Source organism: Homo sapiens, chromosome 17 (genome assembly GCF_000001405.40).
Source record: "Homo sapiens chromosome 17, GRCh38.p14 Primary Assembly".
Taxonomy (NCBI): domain Eukaryota; kingdom Metazoa; phylum Chordata; class Mammalia; order Primates; family Hominidae; genus Homo; species Homo sapiens.
The window spans coordinates 41147241-41173392 of record NC_000017.11 but is presented as its reverse complement, the minus strand read 5'-3'; the positions used below and the strand labels follow the sequence as shown (position 1 = coordinate 41173392).

Below are 26152 nucleotides of genomic sequence, written 5' to 3'. Positions count from 1 at the left end.
TATATAGCTATAGATGTAGCTAGCTATGGATATAGATATAGATATGGATATAGACATAGCTATTGATGCATAGAGTCTGCAGTTATTCCTATGCCCTTTTGGCCACCTATGTCCTGTTCTGAGGACCACTATGTTCTATTGTCCATAACTACAGATCCCTGTAAGTCACAGATCACTCTGCCTAGTTTGCCATTCCTTGCTTGCTGCATATCATATAATGATACCTACACTAATTCTTAAAGTTAAATGCTACCTCCTGGCTTTGCTATTCTGGGATCTTATCATTCCCATTACTCCTGGGAAGCTTAGTTCTATAACAAAACTTTTTATCACAAATGCTGACTTTATGGAATAGGCACTACTAAATTTCTCATTGATGTTGGTGGCTCTCTTACCTGCTCATTCCTTACTGCTTTTGTAAACAGAATGTCTCCAAGACTCACCCCAGAAATATAGTCAGGTGCTTGGCCTTAAGACCAGAGCTATTTTAATATTTCCACTTCTCTGTACTTTTTTTTTTTTTTGAGATGGAGTCTTGCTCTGTCTCCCAGGCTGGGGCGCAGTGGCGAGATCTCAGCTCACTGCAACCTCTGCCTCCCAGGTTCAAGCAATTCTCCTGCCTCAGCCTCCAGAGTAGCTGGGACTACAGGCACGTGCCACCACGCCCGGCTAACTTTTTGTATTTTTAGTAGAGTTGGGGTTTCACTATGTTAGCCAGGATGGTCTCAATCTCCTGACCACGTGATCCACCCGCCTCAGCCTCCCTTCTCTGCACCTTTTGATCCCTTCCTGTTCTTCCATGGGCTGTATGTTACCAGATAAATCTATACTAGTTATCTACTGTTGCCTTATATTATCACTTCACAACTTAACAGCTTAAAACAACACACATTATCTCACAGTTTCTGTGGATCAAGAATTCAGGCATGCCTTACCTATGTTCTCTGTGTCATAGTGTTTTCCAAGGCTGTAATCAAGGTGTTCACTGTCACTAGAGTCTCATCTAAAGCCTCAACTAGGAAGCAGCCGCATCCAGGCTCACTAAATGGTTGTTGACAGGATTCAGCCCCCAAGGACAATTAGAGGGAGCCTCAGTTCCTTGTGAGCTGTTGGATGGGGGCTGTCTTCGAGTTGTTACCACATGGATCTCTGTCTCTTATAGCAGCTGGCTTCATCAAACCCAATGAGAGTGAGCGTGAGAGCAAACCAGAGCTGGCCAACAAGAAGAAAGTGACAATCTTTTGAATAATAACTTAATCATTCAATGTACCATATGATGTTGGTTAGAAGTAAGTTACTCAAAGGGTTGGAATTACTTAAGACCATGAGCACCAGGTGGCAGAAATAATGGGGCTAACTTAGAGGTTGCTGCCCCAGCTCTTACACAATATTGAGCAAGATAATCAAAACACAAAATACACATACTATGATTCCATTTAGATTAAATTTTAAAATGTGGGAAAATAAACTGTATTATTAGGGATGCATGTCTAGGTTGAAAAACTATAAAAAATACAGTAGAAGGATTTAAAATCAGAATAGTGATTACTTCTAGAATGGAGGGAGGGAGATACAGTCAAGAAAAGACATATAGGAGCACCTCTTATGGATGACAAGATTCTATTTCTTGACGAAGGCTTTGGGTACATACATGCTTGCTTAATAATTATTAGCTATATCAATTATTAATTAATTAATGTATATATGTTATATATTTTTAGTATATTTTTTCACTTAAAAAGTTTTTTTAAAATCCAAGGTGAACTGAAATATCCTATTTAAGTTTTAAAAGTCAAGATAAAGCAGTGATTGAAGACAGTTTAGAACAAAGAGATTTACTGAATGGCATATGAGTATTCATATTATTTTAAATATTGCTCTAATTACACATACCACTTCATACCAAGAATGGTAGCATTGTTTAATGCTTATTCTTAAATATTTTAATAGTTTGATTTTTATTATAAATAGGAACTTAATTGAATTGGAAATATGATAATTTATCTATCAATTAGACATGCCTTTTGTAGGCCTCTCTGTGTATTTCACAGTCTTATAACTAAGTCACAGTAATTCACCTAATGAAATTACATTTTATTTCCAAAATACATACTAGGTTTTCATTCCAAAAATGTCAGAGTACTAACATAATAGATGTGATACCTGACAAGAGAAGCCCATTTCCCATGTCATTCTTTAAAGGGTATGTTAATACGATGCGTCCAGGTTGCGGGGTAAACACAACACATGTTCTTCAGTGTTGATTGCAAATATCAGTTGGGTTCACTTCATTCTAATTTCCTTGATGTTTACCTAAGTGAAGTCTTTAATCATGAACTTCTAAAAAGACAACCATAAAATTAGTTTAAAATTTAAAAAGGTATATGAAAGAAAAACTTACACTCCTTCTGCTAGTCTATATAATAAAAGAAGGACAGTTTAGATAGACTTGGCGTAACTTGTGTGTGTGGTCCTCAAGTTAATATCAAGTATGCTTCACCAGACAGTGAGTAGAATTTAGCAGCAAATACATACAGTGACAGACATCTCGCCTGCTTTTGAGGCTCATTTTGTAAAAATCCAGTGTGCTGTCTATACGAATTTCCCATGGTGGTTCATGCCCTGTTGTTCCATTATCATCCATGTGGACTGTCAGTTTTGGTATTAGAGTCATCTAAAATAGCAAAGATAATTATCAGTGTTTTAGTTTACAATACTCCAAATTCAGTGTTTAAAATCCAGTATCATTTTCTCTACTACGTAGATACTACCAATTGTATTTTAATTATTTTAGTTGCTTCTGTTTCCAGTTGAATATTATACAATGTATGTCATACAACAGTTTAAGCAGATGGGTCTCAAGCTTGGCTGCCCTTTACCTGAGAAACTTGAAAAATTCTGGTGCCCAGGCCATAACCCACAGCACTTAAGTCAGATTTTTTCTGAGCAAGAGTCAGGCATCAGTAGTTTTTAACACTCCCCGAGTGACTCTAATATTCAGCCAACTTGTAGAACCCCTGGATGAGGGGTTGTGATTCTCCATACATTTCCCTACATTCAGAATGTACCTGCCTTTGTAGCTGTGGCAATAGGGTTTTCTTAATCTCCATAAATTTATATAGAAACCTCTCCCCTCATAATCAAAACCTTTTTCTTTTATGTTTTTAATTTTTCCTCAGCCCCTGATATACAGCAAATCAAATGAACAACTGCCTCTTCAGGACACCATGTGGCTTCACAATACAATTGTTTCAATCTTTCATGTTCTCCAGCTTTGCAAACACAGCCCATAAAGTAAAGACTTGTAAATCAAGTGTTTGCTAAACAAGTTAATGTGACAGAAATATTGCAAGGTGTTTGGTCTTTAATGATCTTAATTAAGACATTTAAGGATGCTATCATAGAGTGAACAACCTGTCTCTTTCTTCTTGGGACTTCCTAGTTCTAGCAATGAGAGCCCTGAGTTCAGGGAATGCCCTCAGACTGGGCAATCAGAAACAGCTGGTCACCCTACCATGACATTGGTTGGTATAGTTAAAATGAAGCCCTGGCAGTTATTAGTATAGCTCTGAATGAACTAGTGATGCATGCATCAACATTGTGACTCTCACAGCCACATATCAAGGCAAAGATGACAGACAGAAAAAACAATTATGCTATATATAATTTGTTTGAATGTTCAAATCAAAACTAACCTATGGTGGAAAAATTATTAGAACATTGCTAATAATTTCCCCATATGGCTGCCTCTATGAAGTGATGAGTTTACTGAAGTGACATTTGGGAACTTTCTAGTATAATGAAAATGTTCTCTGTATTCATCCATTTTCATACTGCATGAAGAAATACCAGAGACTGGGTAATTTATAAAGAAAAGGAGGTTTAATTGTGAGTCTCTAAAAAAGACTTGCAGTTCCACATGGCAGGGGAGGCCTCACAATCATGGCAGAAGGTGAAGGAGGAGCAAAGGCATCTCTTACATGGCAGAAGGCAAAAGAGCATGTGCAGGGGAACTGGTCTTTATAAAACCATCAGATCTCATGAGGCTTATTCACTATTATGAGAACAGCATGGGAAAAATCAGCCCCCTTGATTCAATTACCTCCCACCGGGTCCCTCCCATGACACCACGACACCACGACACCATGACACATGGGGAGTACGGGAGCTACAATTCAAGATGAGATTTGGGTGGGGACACAGCCAAATTACATCATTCTCTATCTTAATAGGTGTGGAGGTTACATGGATGTACCCATTTATAAAAACTCATCAAATAGTACATTTGGGATTTGTTCATTTCAGTGTATGTAAATTTTACAATATCATAAAAATAGACACAAACTAAATTAAAATATTTATTTATGAATTAATCCACCAAATTGTCATGTTTGCTAATTTGTTTTAAGTATGATTCTTTTAATTAAACTATAATGAGCTCCTTTGATGTTACTTTATCACAGTATAATACTGTGTGTGTGTGTGTGTATGTGTGTGTGTGTTCCTTCTAGCAAGCTGTGAACTCCCCTGAAGGAGAATCTACATCAAATTTGTAATCCCAATGGCTGGCAACTTGGGTCTCTCAGATTATCCATTTAATGCCTCTGTTTTATAAGCAAGGCAGGACCTTGAGCCAGGTGCTTCTGTAAAGCTTGAATGAACAGAATAAAGCAGGAGGTGTCTGTGTGTGGCCATTAAACCTTTCCTCATTGCTCAAAAATGACACTCAAAATAGGACATTTTCTTCTTGTCCCAGGCCAGAGGCCACACTGAGTAGAAGGGCTTTCCTCTCCCTTGGTCAATGGAATAAATGAATAATTGGTAATGTAACTGACTAAATCTCATTCTGGTACTGGGTACAGGAAAAGAGAGTGAGAAATGTAATTTCAAATGCAGAGTATCACCTGATAGCCCTGTGTAGAGGAAGAGGAAGATAATTTGGTCTAGAAGATGCCATCAAGGTGAGAATCAAGGAAAAGTAGATGGTATAGATCTTATTACATCTGGACAAGAATATTTTCTTCCCAATGATTTTAAGCCATTAAATGGACAAACATTATTGTGTAATCTGATAATTATTTAGCAATTAAATAAACAAAAACAAGAAAAATATAGTGACAACAGGAAACTGGGGCAGTATATAAGAGGCTCAAGGAGACTTCTAAACTCCAGAACCTCATTCTCCTGGGAACCCACCCAGAACCTCCACCCTCTGACGCCATGGTCAGCTCCTGCTGTGGCTCTGTCTGCTCTGACCAGAGCTGTGGTCAAGGTCTCGGCCAGGAGAGCTGCTGCCGCCCCAGCTGCTGCCAGACCACCTGCTGCAGGACCACCTGCTGCCGCCCCAGCTGCTGCATTTCCAGTTGCTGCAGGCCTTCCTGCTGTATCTCCAGCTGCTGCAAACCCAGCTGCTGCAGGACCACCTGCTGCCGCCCCAGCTGCTGCATTTCCAGTTGCTGCAGGCCTTCCTGCTGTATCTCCAGCTGCTGCAAACCCAGCTGCTGCAGGACCACCTGCTGCCGCCCCAGCTGCTGCATTTCTAGTTGCTGCAGGCCTTCCTGCTGTATCTCTAGCTGTTGCAAACCCAGCTGCTGCCAGACCACCTGCTGCCGCCCCAGCTGCTGTATCTCCAGCTGCTACAGGCCCCAGTGCTGCCAGCCCTCCTGCTGCCGCCCGGCTTGCTGCATTTCTAGTTGCTGTCATCCCAGCTGCTGTGTGTCCAGCTGCCGCTGCCCTTTCAGCTGCCCGACCACCTGCTGTAGAACAACCTGCTTCCACCCCATCTGCTGCGGCAGTTCTTGCTGCTGAGTGAAGCTGCTCTGGATTTGTGCACCTTCTTGCTCTCAACCTTCAGTTCAGGCACAGAGTATCTATTCAGAGAACATGTGGACTTCCTGATGTCGTGAAAACAGAGGCATGGACTGATTTGGAAAATATTTTATTAGTATGTATTCTCTTTTATAGAAGTTTTTATTCCTATTGAATCTGAATTTACAGTCAAATTCCACATCACATGTTTTAGAATTCTTTATTCTAATTCAATATACATAAATCTTCAAATGGTATCCTTCTAGATGTTTCTTCCTAATGTTTTCTGTGGTATCAATTTTCATGTGGAATTGTTTGATGTTCCTCAATAAAACTTCATAGTGTTCAAAAGCACCAAAAATGCTCATCTCTTTTCATTTGTTATAATATAATGGTATATGTATATTTCTGTCTATTTTCTGCACAACACAAGAAGAGTACATGTTGTCAAACACCCTAATAATTAAAACATTAAATTGGCATTCTCCAATTAGATTTTATCCAAGCCAGAATTCAGTCTCATAGTAGAAACAGGAGAAGAATTTAAGAGACATTTTTGAACCTAACACATATAACATGAAAGCTGTGGAATATAACTGCCAGCACAAAAAAACTGTCTTCAATAAGCTGCATCCCATGATGTGATTTAAACTAATTTAAACAGAAGCAGCTCAATGTAGAGTATATTCTGTGGACTTGAGAATTATACAGAGTTGAGGCTGAATTCTGACTGTACTGCATGCCACCTATGATCTTAGACATGGCATTTAAACTCTGTCAACCTAGGATTACTTTTCTCTTAAGAAGGGATCATAATAACTCAAAAACACATGAAGGTAATCATAAAATGTCAATGAGATAAAGGTGCCTGGTTGACAAATAAAAGCATGCTCTCTCATCATCACTGGCCATCAGAGAAATGCAAATCAAAACCACAATGAGATGCCATCTCACACCAGTTAGAATGGCAATCATTAAAAAGTCAGGAAACAACAGGTGCTGGAGAGGATGTGGAGAAATAGGAACACTTTTACACTGTTGGTGGGACTGTAAACTAGTTCAACCATTGTGGAAGTCAGTGTGGCGATTCCTCAGGGATCTAGAACTGGAAATACCATTTGACCCAGCCATCCCATTACTGGGTATATACCCAAAGGAGTATAAATCATGTTGCTATAAAGACACATGCACACTCATGTTTATTGTGGCACTATTCACAATAGCAAAGACTTGGAACCAACCCAAATGTCCAACAATGATAGACTGGATTAAGAAAATGTGGCACATATACACCATGGAATACTATGCGGCCATAAAAAATGATGAGTTCATGTCCTTTGTAGGGACATGGATGAAATTGGAAATCATCATTCTCAGTAAACTATCGCAAGAACAAAAAACCAAACACTGCATGTTCTCACTCATAGGTGGGAATTGAACAATGAGATCACATGGACACAGGTAGGGGAATATCACACCTGGGGACTGTTGTGGGGTGGGGGGAGGGGGGAGGGATAGCATTGGGAGATATACCTAACGCTAGATGACGAGTTAGTGGGTGCAGCGCACCAGCATGGCACATGTATACATATGTAACTAACCTGCACAATGTGCACATGTACCCTAAAACTTAAAGTATAATAAAAAAAAAGAAAACTAACAATTTAGAGTTGAAATATAAATCACTAAGCATATCCTCTAAAAGTTGTTTAACCAAGTGAAGATATGTACAATACCATGTACTAAGTTGCTATCATATATTTTCAAGTGAGGTGCAACTAGTATTAGTTTGTCATAGCCAAATAGCTAAACTACAATAATAATTATTAGCTAAGGGATTACTCCAATATAACTTTTAAAAAGTTTTCTCACTATATTCATGGGTTAGCCACTATTCCATATTATCTTGTAAGCCACAGTATGTTCGTTATAACCCAAACCTACTGTGACTTGTTAACTGTTAAAAAATAATTACTATATAATTCTTTGTATAAGCTGGGGGGTAATTGAATGATTAAAAAATTAATAAGAAATAGGCTATTTCAAAAAATGGAAATTTTTTTGTTATTAATTATTAATCAATGCAGAAAATACAATTTTCCATGAAGAAAATATTAGCAAAAACTTCTAGCTGAATAGCAGAAAGAATTTGGAATTTAAGTTTGGAAGGCGTATCAAGGATATGTTCATAATGGGATACAGTTGCATATTCTTAATTGCTTATTTTGCATGCTTTGATGAATATTGAATACTATTATCCATGTAACATAAATATTTAATTCCCTTCATAGTTCTGAAATGGAATTCAGGGCACTTAAAAAATCCCATTAACTAGAGTAAAAATAATTGTGTATTAAAATTATTGTAAGAAGGAGAACAAATCAAGAAAAAGATTTATAAAAATATGTGAAAATGCCTGACTTGCATGCAAATTACATGGAGGGAAAAGAAATGAATGCTTGCTGTGAACTTACCCTTTGGATCATTTTTAAGTTTAGCTCATTTATAAAAATAAATATTTCAGTACCCGATTTTTTTCCCAATTTACATTGCTTGTAGAAATATAGTTGGTGAATTGCATAAGATTCGGACTACTAAGAACTCAACAAGAACATAAATGCAGAGCCCCACCTTATTGTCTCCGAGTTTTACAGAAAGTATTTTAAACAAAAGTCTTATGAACTACTCAATAAGATAAGGAAAATAAAGTACATGTATAACTATTGGAAAAATGATGACAGAGTGTATGATATGCCTGATGTGTGTTTCTAATTGAAAGATAAAAGTTATTTAAAACACTGTAAATGCTCACAAACTGGCCAATTACCCAATCTTAAAAAGAATAATCTCTGAATTTTCCTATATACATATCCACACATCGAAAAAAAAATCCCATGTAGTTAAACATAGACACATGAAAAATAAGAATAAATATATGAAAATATCCAAAAAAAAAGCATGCTGTCTTTTACTACCAATTAGCCTCTTTTTTTTTTACTTTTGTAAATAACGATAGATTTTGAAATAACTATAGATTAACATGAAGTTGAATAAGACAAAGTTCCCTGTACCCTTCACTCAGTTTCCCTCAGTGGTTGCTTCTCATAGGATCATAGTACATGTCAAATCCCAAAATCTGACATTGGTACTAAATTCTAGGGATCTAGTAACTAGCATGGTGATTATAGTTAATAATACTGTATTGAGTACTTGAAATTTTCTGAAAAAGTAGATCTTAATTGTTCTCATTACACACACAGGAAACAATAACTACGTGAGGTGATAGGTATTAACTAACTTGGTTGTGATAATCATCTCACAATATATACATATCAAGGCATCATGTTGTACCCTTGATATACATAAAATTTTATTTGCCAACTCTACCTCAATAAAGCTGGGGAAAAATGAAAGTGCTGAAGTACTAGAAGAAATCGTGAGAGATTTCTAAACATAATGCAAATTTACATTAAGCAAAACACACACGCTCACCTTACAAAGAAAAAAAATAGTCAATTCATGTAAATAAAAGTGATCTCCACTGAGTCATCGGTAGGTACCAGTCATCAGGGTTCTTCAAGGATGTGATTCTTTTCCCATAATTCAAGTTCTCGAGGAAATCTTAGAGTTGTTCTCATACACCATAAACGGGCTCACCAGGGTTTTAACCCCGTAACAGCTTGGAACCTGCTTCTGTTCATTCTGACTGAGGACAAAGGCTCAGGACCTCAATACGATGCTGTGTCTGGGTGCATCAGAGCCAGTGCAGACTCAGAACACCAGCCAGTGCTGAAGCAGGGGCCCACTCAGGAGCCAGATTGTTATCATCCTGGTTGTGTAAGCCTGGAAATCAGGACCAGGGCAGCAGTAGAAACTGGTTAACAGTATAACATTATATTCCACTTATTAGACTTACATGGACCTGAGTGCAGAGAGGGAAGCTCAAAGTAATTTCATCCAATTCCCTCCATCTGGCTCTTGCATGTGCCTCAGTCAGAAACACCAGCTCACACTGAAACCCCCTCCCCTGATTATCTCTAGAGGCAGCCATTTCATAAAGCACCTTCCTCATGTTGTGTCAGATTTTGTTTCTCCCTAGGAACATCCTATCTTCCCTATCCTATATCAGCCCATGGCAGCCATCTGAGGAAGTCCATTCTCATACAGAGCCCCTTCAGGCTGCACTGCCATTGCTTTGTTCCACTTTTCTCCTTTTTAGGTTACATTTCCAAAGTGTTTCCATTTGTTCCTCATTGATCATAATGCCACCCTCACAGCAACTTTGCTTTTCATAAACCCCAATTTATCTTTATCCTTCTAGCCTGGATTGAAATGCATTTTCCAGATGTGTTCTGAACACTCTTGGAGGATTAGAAATGCCTCATCTACCTTAGTAAATGTTCCACTTTCATGAATGTTTCAAGTTTGCATGCAGGAGTTAACACAGTGTTAGTGGCAGTAAGTGGTTGGCAGTAAGTGTGAACTAATACTGAGGTTACTAAAGTGTGACACACCTAAGTAATCCTCATCATAAACTGCTTCAAGGTCTTCTTATACACATACAGTGGTTGTTTCTAGACGAGAAGTTCTCAACCTGCCTTTCTACTGCATGCCTGCAGTAATAGAGCTCATTGTGGTGATCCAGGTTGAGTACCCCATATCTGAAATGCTTGGCACCAGAAGTGTTTCAAATGTCAAGTTTTTTCAGAGTTGGAATATTCGCATTATACTTGTTGAGCATCCCTAATGCAAAAACATGAAATCCTAAATGTTCTATTGGGCATTTTCTTTGAGCATCATATAGGTACTCAAAAAGGTTTGGGTTTTGGAGAATTTCAGATTTCAGATTTTCAGATAAGATGTCCTCAACTTGTAATATTCTATCTGGTGAAGGGATGCTAAGAGGGGACACAACCTTAGGGTGTGTGTATAGTTAAATAAATACTCCCAGTAAATTTAGATATATTCACTCCTCCCCAATCTCGTTTGCCATGCTGCATTAATAACCACTCATTTGATCTACAATTGGTTCTGATATTTCATCTTGTTAGGTTTGATTCCTTGTGAGAGTATTTCTGTAGTTTTGGAAACATGGTTCTGCCATTTGGCATATTCACTTTTTCTTACCTTCATGGCCCCCAAATATTTAGATGAGCATGTTTTATGGAAAGACCCTCAGCAGAGTTGGGGTGTCCATAGTATCCTCAGAGAGACCAGTCCAAACAGAAATTGCTAACCCAAGAGCATCCCAAAGTGGAGGGTGGCACAAAGACAGGAAGTTTCTGCCTTCTTCCTTGGGTTTCTTTAACATCCAGGTTTGGGGGAGTGTGTGTGTGTGTGTGTTTGAGTGTGTGTGTGTGTGTGTGTGCATAATATTCCTAAGGTAAAGGGCCTTAGGAGATAAAGGTAAATACATATATATATAAATATATATATTTCTAAATATGTTATTGTATATATTATATATATATTTATACATACTATTAAATACAAACATATATGAAGAATATATATTATATATTCATAAATATGTAAATATATATATTCCTATATTACCTATATATAAGGTTCTCTATCTACCCATCTATATATGTATAATATATATATATATTCCTAAGGTCCTTTGGCAGAATATATATATTCCCCCAAACCTGTGTGTGTGTGAGTGTATATATATATATACATATACATCAAAAGAAAATTATGGGCCTAGAAGAATTAAAATCACCCAAGGTCAGACATAATGTGTGTGTATGTGTGCGTGTGTGTGTGTATATATATATATATATATATATATACACACACACACGCACACATACACACACATACATACACACACATATATGTGTGTGTATGTGTGTATATTTATATATAGTGTGCATATTTATATATAGTGTGTATATTTATATATAGTGTGTATATACGTGTGTGTGTATACTATATATAGTATATATATGTATATATATAATATATATTATATATATATATATATATTATATATATATAGCAAGGACACTGGGTCCTTTACCTTAGGTTGGCAAGTAAACCTTAGAAATAGAGGAGATGACTCAATGTGATTGTTAAAGCCAGAGAGACAGGAAGGAAAAGTCAGAAGGAAAATCAGCCCCTCAGAGCAGAGAGCGGAGGGACCTGAACCTTTTAGTATAGCTGATCTCTGTAGCCAATTTCCCCTAAAGGCCCTGAAACTGAGTTTTGGAGTGTTGTTTCTCAAGAAAAAGAAGCATCGATAATTCATGACTTAGATGTCCACCTTAAAACAATTCTGCTTTCCCCAGTAGAACATCTAGAAAATGGGTCATGATTCATTGTATGGAAGGTGGCAAGGAATATATCCTAATAGTATTTGTTTTCATGCCACTGGTCACCTGTTTCACATTCAAACCTTCATTGCTCACTTGATCTATAACAAACATGCCATGAGATTAAAGCACAGCTTTCTCCTCCTGAGTCACCAAAAGAAAATTACGGGCCTAGAAGAATTAAAATCACCCAAGGTCAGACATAATGTATTAAGGAAAATGAGGCTGCAGCACATGGTACCTGCAGGCAGATGTCACATGGCAGCTCAAGGAGGAAGCTGCAGCAAGAGGCACACAAGAGGTTGTTCAAGAAGAGCTGACCTGAAGAATCCTAACACACCAGGGGAAGGAAATAATGCTTTTCTCCATGTTGACAAATTTAAGCAGAAAAACAAACTTGCCTAATTTGATAATTGCCTGCTCATCAGAACAAACAATGACAAGGAAAGAGTGCTGCATCCGATGACATCAGCCCTGAGCAGGGTATAAAAGAGGATCTGGGGCAAGGAGACTTCCAAGCCTTCCAAACCCTCCTTCCTGGAAACCCACCCAGAACCTCCACCCTCTGACACCATGGTCAACTCCTGTTGTGGCTCTGTGTGCTCTGACCAGGGCTGTGGCCTAGAGAACTGCTGCCGTCCCAGCTACTGCCAGACCACCTGCTGCAGGACCACCTGCTGCCGCCCCAGCTGCTGTGTGTCCAGCTGCTGCAGACCCCAGTGCTGCCAGACCACCTGCTGCAGGACCACCTGCTGCCACCCCAGCTGCTGTGTGTCCAGCTGCTGCAGACCCCAGTGCTGCCAGTCTGTGTGCTGCCAGCCCACCTGCTGCAGACCCCAATGCTGCCAGACTACCTGCTGTAGGACCACCTGCTGCCGCCCCAGCTGCTGCAGGCCCCAGTGCTGCCAGTCTGTGTGCTGCCAGCCCACCTGCTGCTGCCCCAGCTACTGTGTGTCCAGCTGCTGCAGACCCCAGTGCTGCCAGACCACCTGCTGCAGAACCACCTGCTGCCGCCCCAGCTGCTGTGTGTCCAGGTGCTACAGGCCCCATTGTGGCCAGTCTCTATGCTGCTAGCCCATCTGCTGGCAAACCACCTGCTACAGGACCACCTGCTGCCACCCCAGCTATTGCATTTCCAGCTGCTGCCAGCCTTCCTGCAGTATCTCTAGCAGCAGTAGCTCCTCCTGCTGTGGCTTCAGCTGCTGCAGGCTCTCCTGCTGCATCTCCAGTTGCTGCCGCCCCAACTGCTGCCAGACCATGTGCTGCCGCCCAACCTGCTCTAGTGCTTCTTGCTGCTGAGGCTGTCATCTGGACTCACCAGATTCTCATCAACCAGCATTCTTGATGTAGCTCATCTATGAGCTGAGTTATGGGAAGCTAGTTGGAAAACTTCAGTTCCAACCAATTCTTAGATTGAATCTGGCCTCCAAATATATGCTCCCCCCACATTTTACCTCTCTACCAAATGAACATAAGTTGTAATTTGCTCTGAAATCTGTCAACTATCTTAATTGAAATATTTGCTCTCTGCCATAATTTCTCATATGGAGCTATTCCATTTTAAACAAATATTTATCTAAATAAATCTTAAATAAATTTTCAGGCATAGAAATATACAGATACTGTGTCTCATTATTTTTCTTTTTTGAGTGTGGTCAATTACCAGTCAATTTTTCTGTTGTTCTTCTCTGCAGAATGTAATTTCAGGGGCACCACCTCTATTTCCTCAGCACACTTTATTCTAATATACAATGGTGGTTTCTTAGAGCAAGCACCTGGAACTCTCTTCTTGAAGAGTTTCTCTAGCCAAGGAGCAAGCTCTGGACTGTAGAGTTAAAGCCTCTTGGAATAGTATTCAACAAATGAGTGAGAGTTGGTGAACACATGCTTTAGTTATTTCTCCTCCAGTTGGGAGCATGTTGTACCAGCATGTCAGTGGTCCTCAGAGACACCAAATTCCAGCTACCTACAGGGCTATTCTGATCATTAACTCATCTTGTATTCACTTCCCTCCCTTTCCTGGAGCATTTTTCGTGTTCCATACAGCACTTCTTGGGACCACCTCCCAAATATACTCCTGGGTCGGCTCCAGTGGGGACCCAATCTAAGACACCAGTGTTCCTAACCTCAGTATTAGTGCCCTTCAAAACATTTTTCCTTTTTTATTGATATGTAGCAGATGCGCATATAAAATTTTGATACATCCATATAATTTGTAAAGATCCAATCAGGGTAATTGGATTATCCATCACAGTTTATCTTTTCTTTATGCTAGGAACATCTGAATTATTCTTTTGTAGCTACTTTGGAATGTTTAATAGATCATTGTTAACTATAGTCATCCTACAGTTATATTGAATACTAGGTCATATTTTTATCTCTAACTTATATTTGTACACGTCAATCCACCTCTTCATTTCCCACAGGCACCCTCCTCTGACTCTGATAACCAGCAATCTATTCTTTATCTTCATGAGTTCCATTCCATTAGCAATTTGTCTTTCTGTGCTTGGCCTATTTCACGTAACATAATTAAATCATTTTTATACAATATCAGTGGTTACCCTGGTGTCACGGTCAACTCTTGAGTATACTGTCTAGTAAATAGGTAAATGTTCTAAATAAATATTTTTCTTATCCTTCTTCCTCCTCCTCCTCTTCCTCCTCCTCCTCCTCCTCCTCCTCCTCTTCTTCTTCTTCTTCTTCTTCTTCTTCTTCTTCTTCTTCTTCTTCTTCTTCTTCTTCTTCTTCTTCTTCTTCTTCCTCTTCTTCTTTTTCTTCTTCTCAGTTTTGGCACAGTTATCTCTGGACTAGTTGTCTTTATCTCTCTCTCTCTCTTTTTTTTTTTTTTTTTTTTTGAGATAGAGTCTTGCTATGTCACCCAGGCTGGAGGCCAGTGGTGCCATCTCAGCTCACTGCAACCTCCACCTCCCAGGTTCAAGTGATTTTCCCACCTCAGCCCCTCAAGTAGCTGGAATTACAGGTATGTGCCATCACGTCCAGCTAATTTTTGTATTTTTAGTAGACACGGGGTTTCACCATGTTGGCCAGGCTGGCCTCGAACTCCTGACCTCAAGTGATCCATCTGCCTCAGCCTCCAAAAGTGCTGGGATTACAGGCATGAGCCATCACACCCAGTCTTCAATCTCTTTTTCTTCCACATTATTATATCTGAAGGATAAGGCAGAATTGCCATGCTAGTAACTTTTATTCTAAAAGAAACTGTGTTTAAGAGGTGTGCTAAGTTGGATTCACTCAAAATAGAACCGAAAACAAGGATTCTTGGATAAGTGATTTATAAGAAAATGCTCTCAGGAGAAATCAGTAAGAAACTGGGAAGCAGAATAGAGGAGTTTAAAAACCTAAGGCAGAACATGATTTTTATTGAATTATTTTCTCTTCTGACCCCATAGGAAGCTCTAGAGTGTGATTAGTATCACAGACCCATCTTTCTGAGAGGCAAGGTGGTTGGAATTTTGCACTCAGACATCAGTTACCACTAGCTATGGGTCAACCTGTGGGAGAGGAAGAAGATTCATAGATGGTCCAATCCTCCAGATGAGGTATCAATTAGGTAAACATAAAAAAAAATGAACTTCTAAAATGACAACAAAACAATGAGTTTAAAGAGAAAAAAGTGTATAAAAGAAAAAATACAGCTGTTCTGTGTAATAAAAGAGGTATCATTTAGGTAGACTTGAGACAATCTGTGTGTATGGTTCTCTTTCACTGTTTATTATTAATAAATTGGCCTATGCATATTTCTGTCTCTTTTTCTGCACAACCCGAGAGTACATGTTATCAGGGGATCATACAATTGAAAAATTAAATTGATATTCTCTAATGAGATTTTTAATCAAAACTAGGATTCTGTCTCACAGCAGAAATAGGAAAATGTATCAAAGGAGGCATATTTGAACCTAATACATCTAACATAAGAGCTATGAATTGCAACAGCCACCGAAATAGAAAGTCGTCAATAAACTGCATCCCATGAAGTGATTTAAACTTATTTAAAGGGAGGGATTTAAACTGATAAGGAAGCTCTATATACAGTATAGACTGTGCACTTGGGAATTAGAGAGAGTTGGGGCTGAATTCTGACTGTACTACATACCAGGTATGTTCTTGTACATGTTAACTATCTCAGCCTAGGGTTGCTTTTCTTTAAGGAAATGATCACAATAGCCACAAAATATAGTAAGGATGTCGTAAATATTCAATGAGATTGGCAAGTAAAAGCATGCTCCCCTTTTTTTCCCAATAATCCTCATATATATATTTTTAACTTTTTATTTAGAAATAACTATAAATTCACAGAAAGTAGAAAAAAAAGTACAGCAAAGTCCTATGCACCCTTCACCCAGTTTTCCCCAGTCGTCACGTATTCCATCACTAGAGTACATGTCAAACCCCACAAACTGACATTGGTAAAATCCACAAAACTTGTTCTAGTTTTATCAGTTTTACATGCACTTATGAGTATGTGTATGTGTATGTGTATGTCTGTGTATGTTTGTGTGTAAATGTATGGATAACTTAGAAGGAATGGATGAATTCCTAGAAACATAATACCTACCGAGACTGAAACATGAAGAATAGAAAATCTGAGGAGTCCAATAATGAATAAGAAGATTAAAGTAGCAATAACAAACCTCCCAGCAAAGAATAGCCCAATACCAGATAGCTTCACATGTGAATTCTAACAAGCATCTGAAGAAGGATTAATGCCAATCCTTATCAAACTCTTCCACAAAAAGTGAAGAGGAGGGAACATTTCCAACATCTGTTTATAATGACAGCATTACTCTTTACCAAAGCCAGATAAGGACACTACAAGAAAAGAAAATTATAGGCCAATATACTTTATAAACATAGGTGCAAAAATACAAAATACTCAACAGGATACCAGGAAACCTTATTCAACAACATATTAAAAAGATCATTCACCGTGATCAAGTGAGATTCACTCAGGGGATGCAAGGTTAGGCCAACACACATAAATCAATAAACATGATACGTCACATTAATAGAATGAAGGATGAAAAGCATATGATCACTTAAGTAGATGCAAAAAAAAGCATTTTTAAAAATTCAGAATATTTTTATGAAAAAACTCACAGCAAATTAGGTATAGAGGGAATGTACCTCAACATAGTCAAGGTCACATATGACAAACCCATAGCTGACATCACACTGAATAGGGAAAAACTGAAAGCATTCTCCCTAAGAACTGGAACAAGACTAGGATGACAACTTGTACCACTCCTATTCAACATAGTACTGGAAGCCCTAGCCAGAGCAATCAAGCAAGAGAAAGAGATAAACAGTACTCAAATTTGAAAACAGAAAGGCAAATTATTTCTGTTTGCTGAATGAAATTGGATCCATTTCTCTCACCATGTACAAAAATCAACTCAAGATAAATCAAAGACTTACATGTAAAATATGAAACTATAAAAATACCAGAAGAAAACCTAGGAAATACTCTTCTAGACCTTGATCTAGCCAAAGAATTCATGACTAAGATCTCAAAAGCACAGGCAACAAAAGCAAAAATTGGCAGACAGGACTTATTTAAACTAAAAAGCTTCACACAGCAAAAGATGACATGATCTTATATCTAGAAAACCCTAAAGGCTCCACCAAAAAACTCTTGGATTTGATAAGCAAATTCAGTAAAGTTTCAGAATATGAAATCAACAAGCAAAAATCAGTAGCATTTGCATACACCAATAATGATCCAGCTGAATACCAAATCAAGAATGCAATCTCATTTACAATAGTTATAAAAATACTTAAGAATATATTTATCGAATGAGGTGAAAGATACCTGCAAGGAAAACTACAAAACACTGACAAAAGAAATTGTAGATAACACAAACAAATGGGAAACATCTCATTCTCACGGATCAGAAGAATTAATGCTGTTAAAATGACCATACTGCCCAAAGCAGTCTACAGACTCAGTGCAATTCCTACTGAAATACTAATGTCATTTTTAATGGAATTAGGGAAAAAAATCCTAAAATTGATAAGGAAGTGAAAAAGAGCCCAAGTAGCTAAAGCAATCCGAAAGGGGGGTGGGGAAGCTGGAGGCATTACGTTATCCATTCTCAAATTATATTAAAAGGCTATAGTAACCAAAACAACATGGTTTGGGGTTAAAAATAGACACATAGATCAGTGGAACAGAATAGAGAACCCAGAAGTGTAGCCACATACTTACAGCAAACTGATTTTTGACAAAGTTGATAAGAACATACACGGGAAAGGAAATCCTATTCAATAAATAAATGATGCTGGGTACATTGGATTGCCTTTGCAAAAGAATGAAACCAGATCCCTATCTCTCGCTATGTACAAAAATCAACTCAAGATGCATTAAAGGCTTAAATGTAAGACATGAAGCTATAAAAATAATAGAAGAGGCCGGGAGCGGTGGCTCATGCCTGTAATCCCAGCACTTTGGGAGGCTGAGGCGGGTGGATTGCTTGAGGTCAGGAGTTCAAGACCATCCTGACCAACATGGTGAAACCCTGACTCTACTAAAAATACAAAAATTAGCCAGGCATGGTCATGGGTGCTTGTAATCCCAGCTACTCCAGAGGCTAAGGCAGGAGAATCGCTTGAACCTGGGAGGCAGAGGTTGCAGTGAGCCGAGATCAAGCCATTGCACTCCAGCCTGGGTGACAGAGCGAGACTCCGTCTAAAAAAAAGAAAGAACGAACGAACGAAAGAAAGAAAGAAACCAGAAGAAAGCCTAGGGAAAACTCTTCTGGACATTGGTCTAGCCAAAAACTCATGACTATGCCCTCTAAAGCACAGGCAACAAAACAGAAAATAGGCAAATAAGATTTATCTAAACTAAAAAGTTTCTGCACTGTAAGAATTAAACAAAAAGGAAAGAAACATGAAAGATGGCTTGCCAGTTAAGACAGGTTTATTTTAGAGAAAACAAACCTAAGAGTGGCATTTGGCTGAGTTAGGTTGGAGGCACACTTTTTACAGACTAAGAGTTTTTAAGGATTCAGGGTGGGAGAGTTTTTTAGAGGCTTGGACTGCTTCTGTGTCTCTTTGTTGTGCTTATCTGGGAGGGAGAGTTGTGTGTCTATTCCCTTGCAGGCATAGCCCGAGTCTGCTTTTAACTTCCCTATCTTAGTGCACATGAAGGGAAAGGAAAGTGCTTATTAAGGCCCACTCTTTTACTGGGGCCCATTGTACGAGGGTGAAGTTTGGCAGTTACCCAAGAGACTTTCCCCCTGCTTCCCTCTGTGCCAGAGCTATCTTATCTGTGTTTTACTGTCTGCTGTTTCTGGCTGCTTGTAGTTAGAAGAGAAGTGATTTCCTTGAAATGCATGAGGCTAGAAAGGGAGCTGCAACTTCAAGTGGCAGTGTTTGTCCAAGATGATGGTGCTCCTGGTCTGTCATGCACAGCAAAAGACATAATCAATGGAGTGAACAGGCAACCTGCAGAATGGGAGAAAATATCTGCAAACTATCCATCCAACAGGGGATTAATATCCAGAATTTAAGAGGAACTCTACCAACAAAAACATTGCAAATAATTCCATTAAAAAGGGGAAAAGGACATGAACAGACATTTTTCAAAAGATGACATACAAATGGCCAATAAGCATTTGAAATAATGCTTATCATCACTAATCATTAAACAAATGCAAATTAAAACCACCATGAGAGATCATCTTATACCAGTAAGAATGGCTGCTATCAAAAAGACAGAAATAACAAATGTTGATGAAGATGGAGCTGAAAGGGAACACATAAACAGTTGTTGAGAATGTAAATTAGTACAACCGCTATGGAAAACAGTATGGAGATTTCTCAAAGAACTAAAACTAGAACTACCATTTGATCCAGCAATCCCATGACTGAGTGTCTACCTGAAGGAAAAGAAATCATTATACCAAAAATATACCTGCACACATATGTTTATTGCACCACTATTTATAGTAGCAAACATATGGAATCAACCTAAATGTCCATCAGTGGATGACTGGATAAAGAAAATGTGCTATATATAAACAATGGAATACTCTTCAGCCATAAAACATAATGAAACCATGTCTTTTGCAGAAACATGGATGGAACCGGAGGCCATTATCTTAAGTGAAACAACTCAGACATAGAAAGACAAATACTGCATGTTCTCAGTTACAGTGGGGCCAAATGATGCGTACACATGGAGGTAGAGTGTGGAATGACAGACAATGGAGAGTCTGAAGGGCAGGGGTGTAGGAGGGGGAAGGATGATGAGAAATTACTTGATGGGTAGAATGCACGTTATTTCAGTGATGGATACTCTAAATGTCCTGACTCGACCATTATGCAATATATCCATGTAACAAAATTATACATTTACACGAATAAAATATTTTAAAAATATCTGAATTGGAAAGGAAGAAGTTACATTGTTTCTATTTGCAGATGACATGATCTTATATGTAGAAAACCCTAAAGACTTCACTGAGAAACTGTGAGAACTAATAAACAAATTCAGTAAGGTTGCAGAGTATAAAATCAACATGCAAAACCCAGTAGGTTTTCTATACACTAATAGCAAACCATCTGAAAAAGAAATCAAGAAAACTATTTCATTTACAATAGTTACAATAAAATAAAATACTTAGGAACAAGTTTAACCAAGGAAGTGAGGATATCTACACTGAAAACTGTAAAACACAGATGAAAGAAATTGATGAAAACACAAATAAATGGAATGATATCCTGTGTTTATTCCAATATTGTCCAAATATTATTAAAGCAATCTACAGATCTCACACAATCCCTATAAATATACCAATGACATTCTTCACAGAAATATTTTTAAAAAGTTCTAAAATTTGTATAGAACCACAAAAAACCAAAGTGATCTTGGACACTAAGAATATAGCTAGAAGCACCACACTCCCTGACTTCAAAATAAACCACAACACTGCAGTAACCAAAATACCATCATTCTGACATAAAAACAGACACACAGACCAATGGAATGGAATAGAGAGACCAGAAATAAAGTCACTCATTTATAACCAATTGATTTTCAACAAAGATGCCAAGAATGGGGGAAGGACAGTTTCTTCAATAAATTATGTTAGGAAAACTGGGTATCCACATGCAGAAGAATGAAATTAGTCCCTTATTTCTTACAGTATGCAAAAATCAGTTCAAATGGGTTAATGGCTTGAATGTAAGATCAGAGGCTATGAAATTTTTGGAAGAAAGCATGGGGGAAAGATTCATGACATTGGTCTCGGCAATGACTTTTTGAATATGACCTCAAAAGCACAGGCGACGAAAGAAAAATTGGATGACTGAGATTACATCAAACTAAAAAGCTTCCACACAGCAAAGGAAACCACAAAAAGAGTCAAGAGATAACCTACAGAATGGGAGAAAATATTTATAAAGTATATATCTCATAAGGGGTTAACATCCAAAATACAAAAGGAGCTCAAACAGCTCACAAGCAAGAAAACAAAAACCTGATTAAAAATGGGCAAAAGACCTGACTAGACATTTCTCAAAAGAAGACATACAAATGGCTAACAGGTTTGTGAAAAAGTACTCAACATTACTAATCATTAGGGAAATACAAATCGAAACCACATTGAGATATCACCTTATTCCTGTTAGAATGGTTATCATCAAAAAGACAAAAGATGACAAGTATTGGCAAGGATGTGAAAAAAACTCCCTCGTACACTGTTGGTGGGAATATAAATTAGTTCAGCCATTATGGAAAACAATATAAGGGTTCCTCAAAAAATTAAAACTGGAATTACCGTATTATCCAGCAATCCACTTCTGGGTACCTTATATATCTACAGGAAATGAACTTAGTATGTTGAAGAAATAACTGCATGTCCAGATTTATTGCAGCACTATTCACAATTGCCAAGATATGCACACAGTGCAAGTGTCCACCAATGAGTAAGGGGATAAAGAAAATGCAGTATATACTCAGTGCAATACTATTTGGCCGTAAAAAGACGGAAGTTCTGTCATTTGTGACAACATGGATACATCTCAAGGAAATTATGCTAAGTGAAGTAAATCAGTCATAGAAAGACAGATAGCACATGATCTCACTCACATGATCGCACTCAAAAAAGTTGATATCATAGAAGTAGAGCAGAGAATGAAGATAATCAGAGGCTAGGGGTGGCTAGGGAGTCAGGGGCTTGAGGAGATACTGGTCAAAAGACATATAATTGTAGCTAGACAGGAAGAATCAGTTCAAGAGGTCTACTGTATAGCATAGTGACTATAGTTAATGATGATATATTGTACATACTGTATTCTTGAAAAATTCTAAGAATGGATATTAAGCGTTCTCACCACAAAAAAATGATAGGTATGAGAGGTAATGCATTTATTAGCTAGATTTAATCCTTCCACAATGTATATATACTTCAAAATATTATGTTGTATGTGGTAAATACAATATTATACGTCAATCTGAAAAATAACTAATTGTTTTTAATTTCACTGAGCTTGAGTTCTTTCTATATTAAGCACATCATGCAAGACACAGTAGTGGGGGTAGATAGATTCTTAAAAGTATTATACAGGTGTTACACAGTGTTAGGGAGCCTGGGTGAAGTACAGACAGCCTCTCCTGGGACTGTTTGTTACAGCTGTATGTAAATCTACAATTATCTCAAATTTCTTTTTTAAAAAGTGAAAACACACACCTGCATTATGTTAACAGACAGTTAGAGGCATTTAAAAAAAACAATGAGTTATGGAATAAAAATGGGACTATGTCTTCCGGAATCTAATAGATTAACTGGAGAGACATGACACAAAATATAGGAGAGCAAAGTATCAATTTAAGAAACTGACCCATTAGTAACACCAAGTATAAAAATTTAAGGATATGGAATATGACCCAAAATTTGAAACATTCAGGGAAACCCATTTCAATAGTGTAGAGGTCACCAAGGCCACATGCAGGTATTGCTATCCCTTTGCTTATTGCTTAATAATGACCCACAGACTAGGAATGCCACACTGAGCAGATGGGTTTTCCTCGCTATTGGTCACTAGAGGGAATGCATAACTGGAAGTGTGACTGACCAAATCCCATTTTGGTAGAGGGTACCTGAAGCGAGAGTAAGAAATGCAATTCCAAATGCAGGGAATCACATGAACAGCCCTCTGTGGAGGAAGAGGAAGAGAACGTGGTCTAGAAGATGCTACCGAGGTGTGAATCATGAGAGAAGGCAGACATGATAGATCTTATTACATCCGGACAAGAAAATTTTGTTTTCAACAAGTTTAAACCATTAAATGGGCAAACATTATTGTGTAATCTGATAATCACTTAGTTATTAAGTAAACAAAAACAAGGAAAATGTAGTACCAACAAGACAGCTGGGCAGTATATAAGAGGCTGTGGCCCAAGGACACTTCCAAACTTGAGAACCTCATTCTTCTAGAAATCCACCCAGAACCTCCACCCTCTGACACCATGGTCAGCTCCTGTTGTGGCTCTGTCAGCTCTGAGCAGAGCTGTGGCCTGGAGAACTGCTGCCGCCCCAGCTGCTGCCAGACCACCTGCTGCAGGACCACCTGCTGCCGCCCCAGCTGCTGCAAGCCCCAGTGCTGCCAGTCTGTGTGCTACCAGCCCACCTGCTGCCACCCTAGCTGCTGCATCTCCAGCTGCTGCCGCCCCTATTGCTGTGAATCCAGCTGCTGCCGCCCCTGCTGCTGCCAGACCACCTGCTGCAGGACCACCTGCTGCAGGACCACCTGCTGCTGCCCCAGCTGCTGTGTGTCCAGCTGCTGCAGACCCCAGTGCTGCCAGTCTGTGTGCTGCCAGCCCACTTGCTGCCGTCCCAGCTGCTGCATCTCCAGCTGCTGCCACCCCTCTTGCTGTGAATCCAGCTGCTGCCGCCCCTGCTGCTGCGTGCGTCCAGTCTGTGGCCGAGTCTCCTGCCACACCACTTGCTATCGCCCAACCTGTGTCATCTCCACCTGCCCCCGCCCCTTGTGCTGTGCCTCCTCTTGCTGCTAATGTCTCCTTGTGATATTTGTCATACTATGAATGTCTTCATTAGTCATTTAAAATGCACTGTAGCCAGCCAGTCACTGGAAAAATGAACACTTCCCTGCCAGTTTGTCTCATGTGGCATTCAGAGTGGACATTCAGCTCTTCTAGGAAATGACAGACAATCACATTCATTAAAATATGTTATGCCAGGCCCCAATGCAGTTATTTTTAGATGAGCAGTGTCTTCATTCGAAGGGGACACTAACTGTGATGATCTCATATAATATTGTTTTCATGTATTAATAAACAGCCACTTCCCTAATATTGAAATCTTCTGATTTGTTAGTGATCTCATTGTGCGTGTGTGTGTGTGTGTGTGTGTGTCTTTACCTGTCAGTTCACATCAAGGGCCATCTCTCTTCAAATGCAGGAGAGCATGTTTAAGAGCCTGGGCTCTTGATTCATGTTCCCTGCATTGGAATCACGACTCCCCTAGGTATTTGTTGCGTGGCATGGGGCAAGTTTTTTAACCTCCTCAGGCCTCAGTTTTCTTTCTCTGTGAATAGAGATAATGCATTACATTCTTTAAATGTTAAGAGACATAACCCATGTAATATACTCACCACAGGGCCTGGTACATAATGCAGTATAGGCTCTTAATGGATACAGTTTCTGGCCGAGCGTGGTGGCTCACATTTGCAATCCCAGCACTTTGGGAGGCTGAGTGGGTGGAACACTTGAGGCCAGGAATTCGAGACCAGTGTGGGCAACATAGTGAAATCCCTTCTCTACTGAAAGTACAAAAATTAGTTGGGCGTGTTGGTGCACACCTGTAGTCCCAGCTACTTGGGAGGCTGAAGCAGGTGAATCACTTGAACCCAGGAGGAGGAGGTTGCAGTGAGCCGAGATCATGTCACTGCACTCCAGCCTGGGTGACAGAGCAACTCTGTCTCAATAAATAAATAAATAAATAAATAAATAAATAAATAAATAAATACAATTTCTGCTGTTACTATGATTGAAACAATACCCTGGGCTAGAATAATATCTTAGCATAATTTTCTTTTTGACAGAACAGCAAGAAAATTTGTATCATTGTTGCGCTGTCTTCTACAACTCAAAATTAAGTTTTGGTATATGCCTCAAGTGTCCCTTAAAAACTCCAGCAAGTTGAACATCATGAAGTCATCTACATTTTGTCTGACTGTATTTCTACTTCCAGTATGTTCCATTATTTGTTGTGGAAATTTTGAGTGTTTTCCCTAGCTCAAGTACTTTTTTCTTGTTTCCTTACTTCCCCCTCCCTCCCCTTCTAATCCCTTTACCTTCCCTCCACCTCCCCTCCCCTTGCCTGCCTACCTGCCTTCCTTCCTTCCTTCCTTCTTTCCTTCCTTCCTTCCTTCCTTCCTTCCTTCCTTCCTTCCTTCCTCCCTCACTCCTTCCTTCCTTCCTTCCTTTTTTCCTCTCTTAACATAAAATGATCTTTCAGAACACAGTCTACCTTCTAAGTCAAGATTTCGGGAAATTTATGACATCTGTGGCAGTTTTCTCATAAAAGTTTTACATCTTTTAATTAATAGATGCTCAAAGTCTTAGTATTTCCAGACTGAAACTCCTTTATAATTTTAGCCCCTAATGTTACTGAGGTTTTTTCATTTTCTTGATAGTTTTACTCCTTTGTTTTGGGCTTTAATCACCTTGCTTTGTCTTAAGAGAACATGGGTGGGACTTTTCCTTGAGACTCAGTTTTCTCATCATCAAAACTCAAACAAGTGTTATTCTATGTAGATGAAAAAATGTGTCACAATATGTGCAAAATATCTTATTTATATAAATATAAGGGTTTATATTTCAGCTAATAATCCAAAGTATATTAAAACTGCTTTAAATCCAAAATTTCTATAAATCAGAATTTTATTTATTAGCTGTGTTATATTTCCAAAGAAATGTAACTAAGAGCTAATTATTATTTCTGAAATGTAAAAATAAAGAAGTTTTAAGTTGT

General features: G+C 38.7%; 3 protein-coding genes across 3 annotated transcripts; all 3 read left to right on the top strand.

Annotated features, from left to right (window-relative positions):
• Window positions 1-5171: 5171 nt before the first annotated feature.
• KRTAP4-3 (keratin associated protein 4-3) lies at window positions 5172-6162 on the top strand. The gene has a single exon (NM_033187.2). The coding sequence runs from the start codon at window positions 5221-5223 to the stop codon at window positions 5806-5808; it is 588 nt and encodes a 195-aa protein (NP_149443.1). The 5' UTR covers window positions 5172-5220; the 3' UTR covers window positions 5809-6162.
• Window positions 6163-12644: 6482 nt separating this feature from the next.
• KRTAP4-4 (keratin associated protein 4-4) lies at window positions 12645-13744 on the top strand. The gene has a single exon (NM_032524.2). The coding sequence runs from the start codon at window positions 12702-12704 to the stop codon at window positions 13200-13202; it is 501 nt and encodes a 166-aa protein (NP_115913.1). The 5' UTR covers window positions 12645-12701; the 3' UTR covers window positions 13203-13744.
• Window positions 13745-23567: 9823 nt separating this feature from the next.
• On the top strand, window positions 23568-24469 carry KRTAP4-5 (keratin associated protein 4-5). Its single transcript, NM_033188.4, has one exon. The coding sequence runs from the start codon at window positions 23626-23628 to the stop codon at window positions 24169-24171; it is 546 nt and encodes a 181-aa protein (NP_149445.3). The 5' UTR covers window positions 23568-23625; the 3' UTR covers window positions 24172-24469.
• The last annotated feature ends 1683 nt before the right edge of the window (window positions 24470-26152 follow it).

Excerpts from the sequence above, each read along its gene's own strand:
- KRTAP4-3 (NM_033187.2), top strand. The coding sequence starts at position 5,221 with ATGGTCAGCTCCTGCTGTGGCTCTGTCTGCTCTGACCAGAGCTGTGGT.
- KRTAP4-5 (NM_033188.4), top strand. The coding sequence starts at position 23,626 with ATGGTCAGCTCCTGTTGTGGCTCTGTCAGCTCTGAGCAGAGCTGTGGC.
- KRTAP4-4 (NM_032524.2), top strand. The coding sequence starts at position 12,702 with ATGGTCAACTCCTGTTGTGGCTCTGTGTGCTCTGACCAGGGCTGTGGC.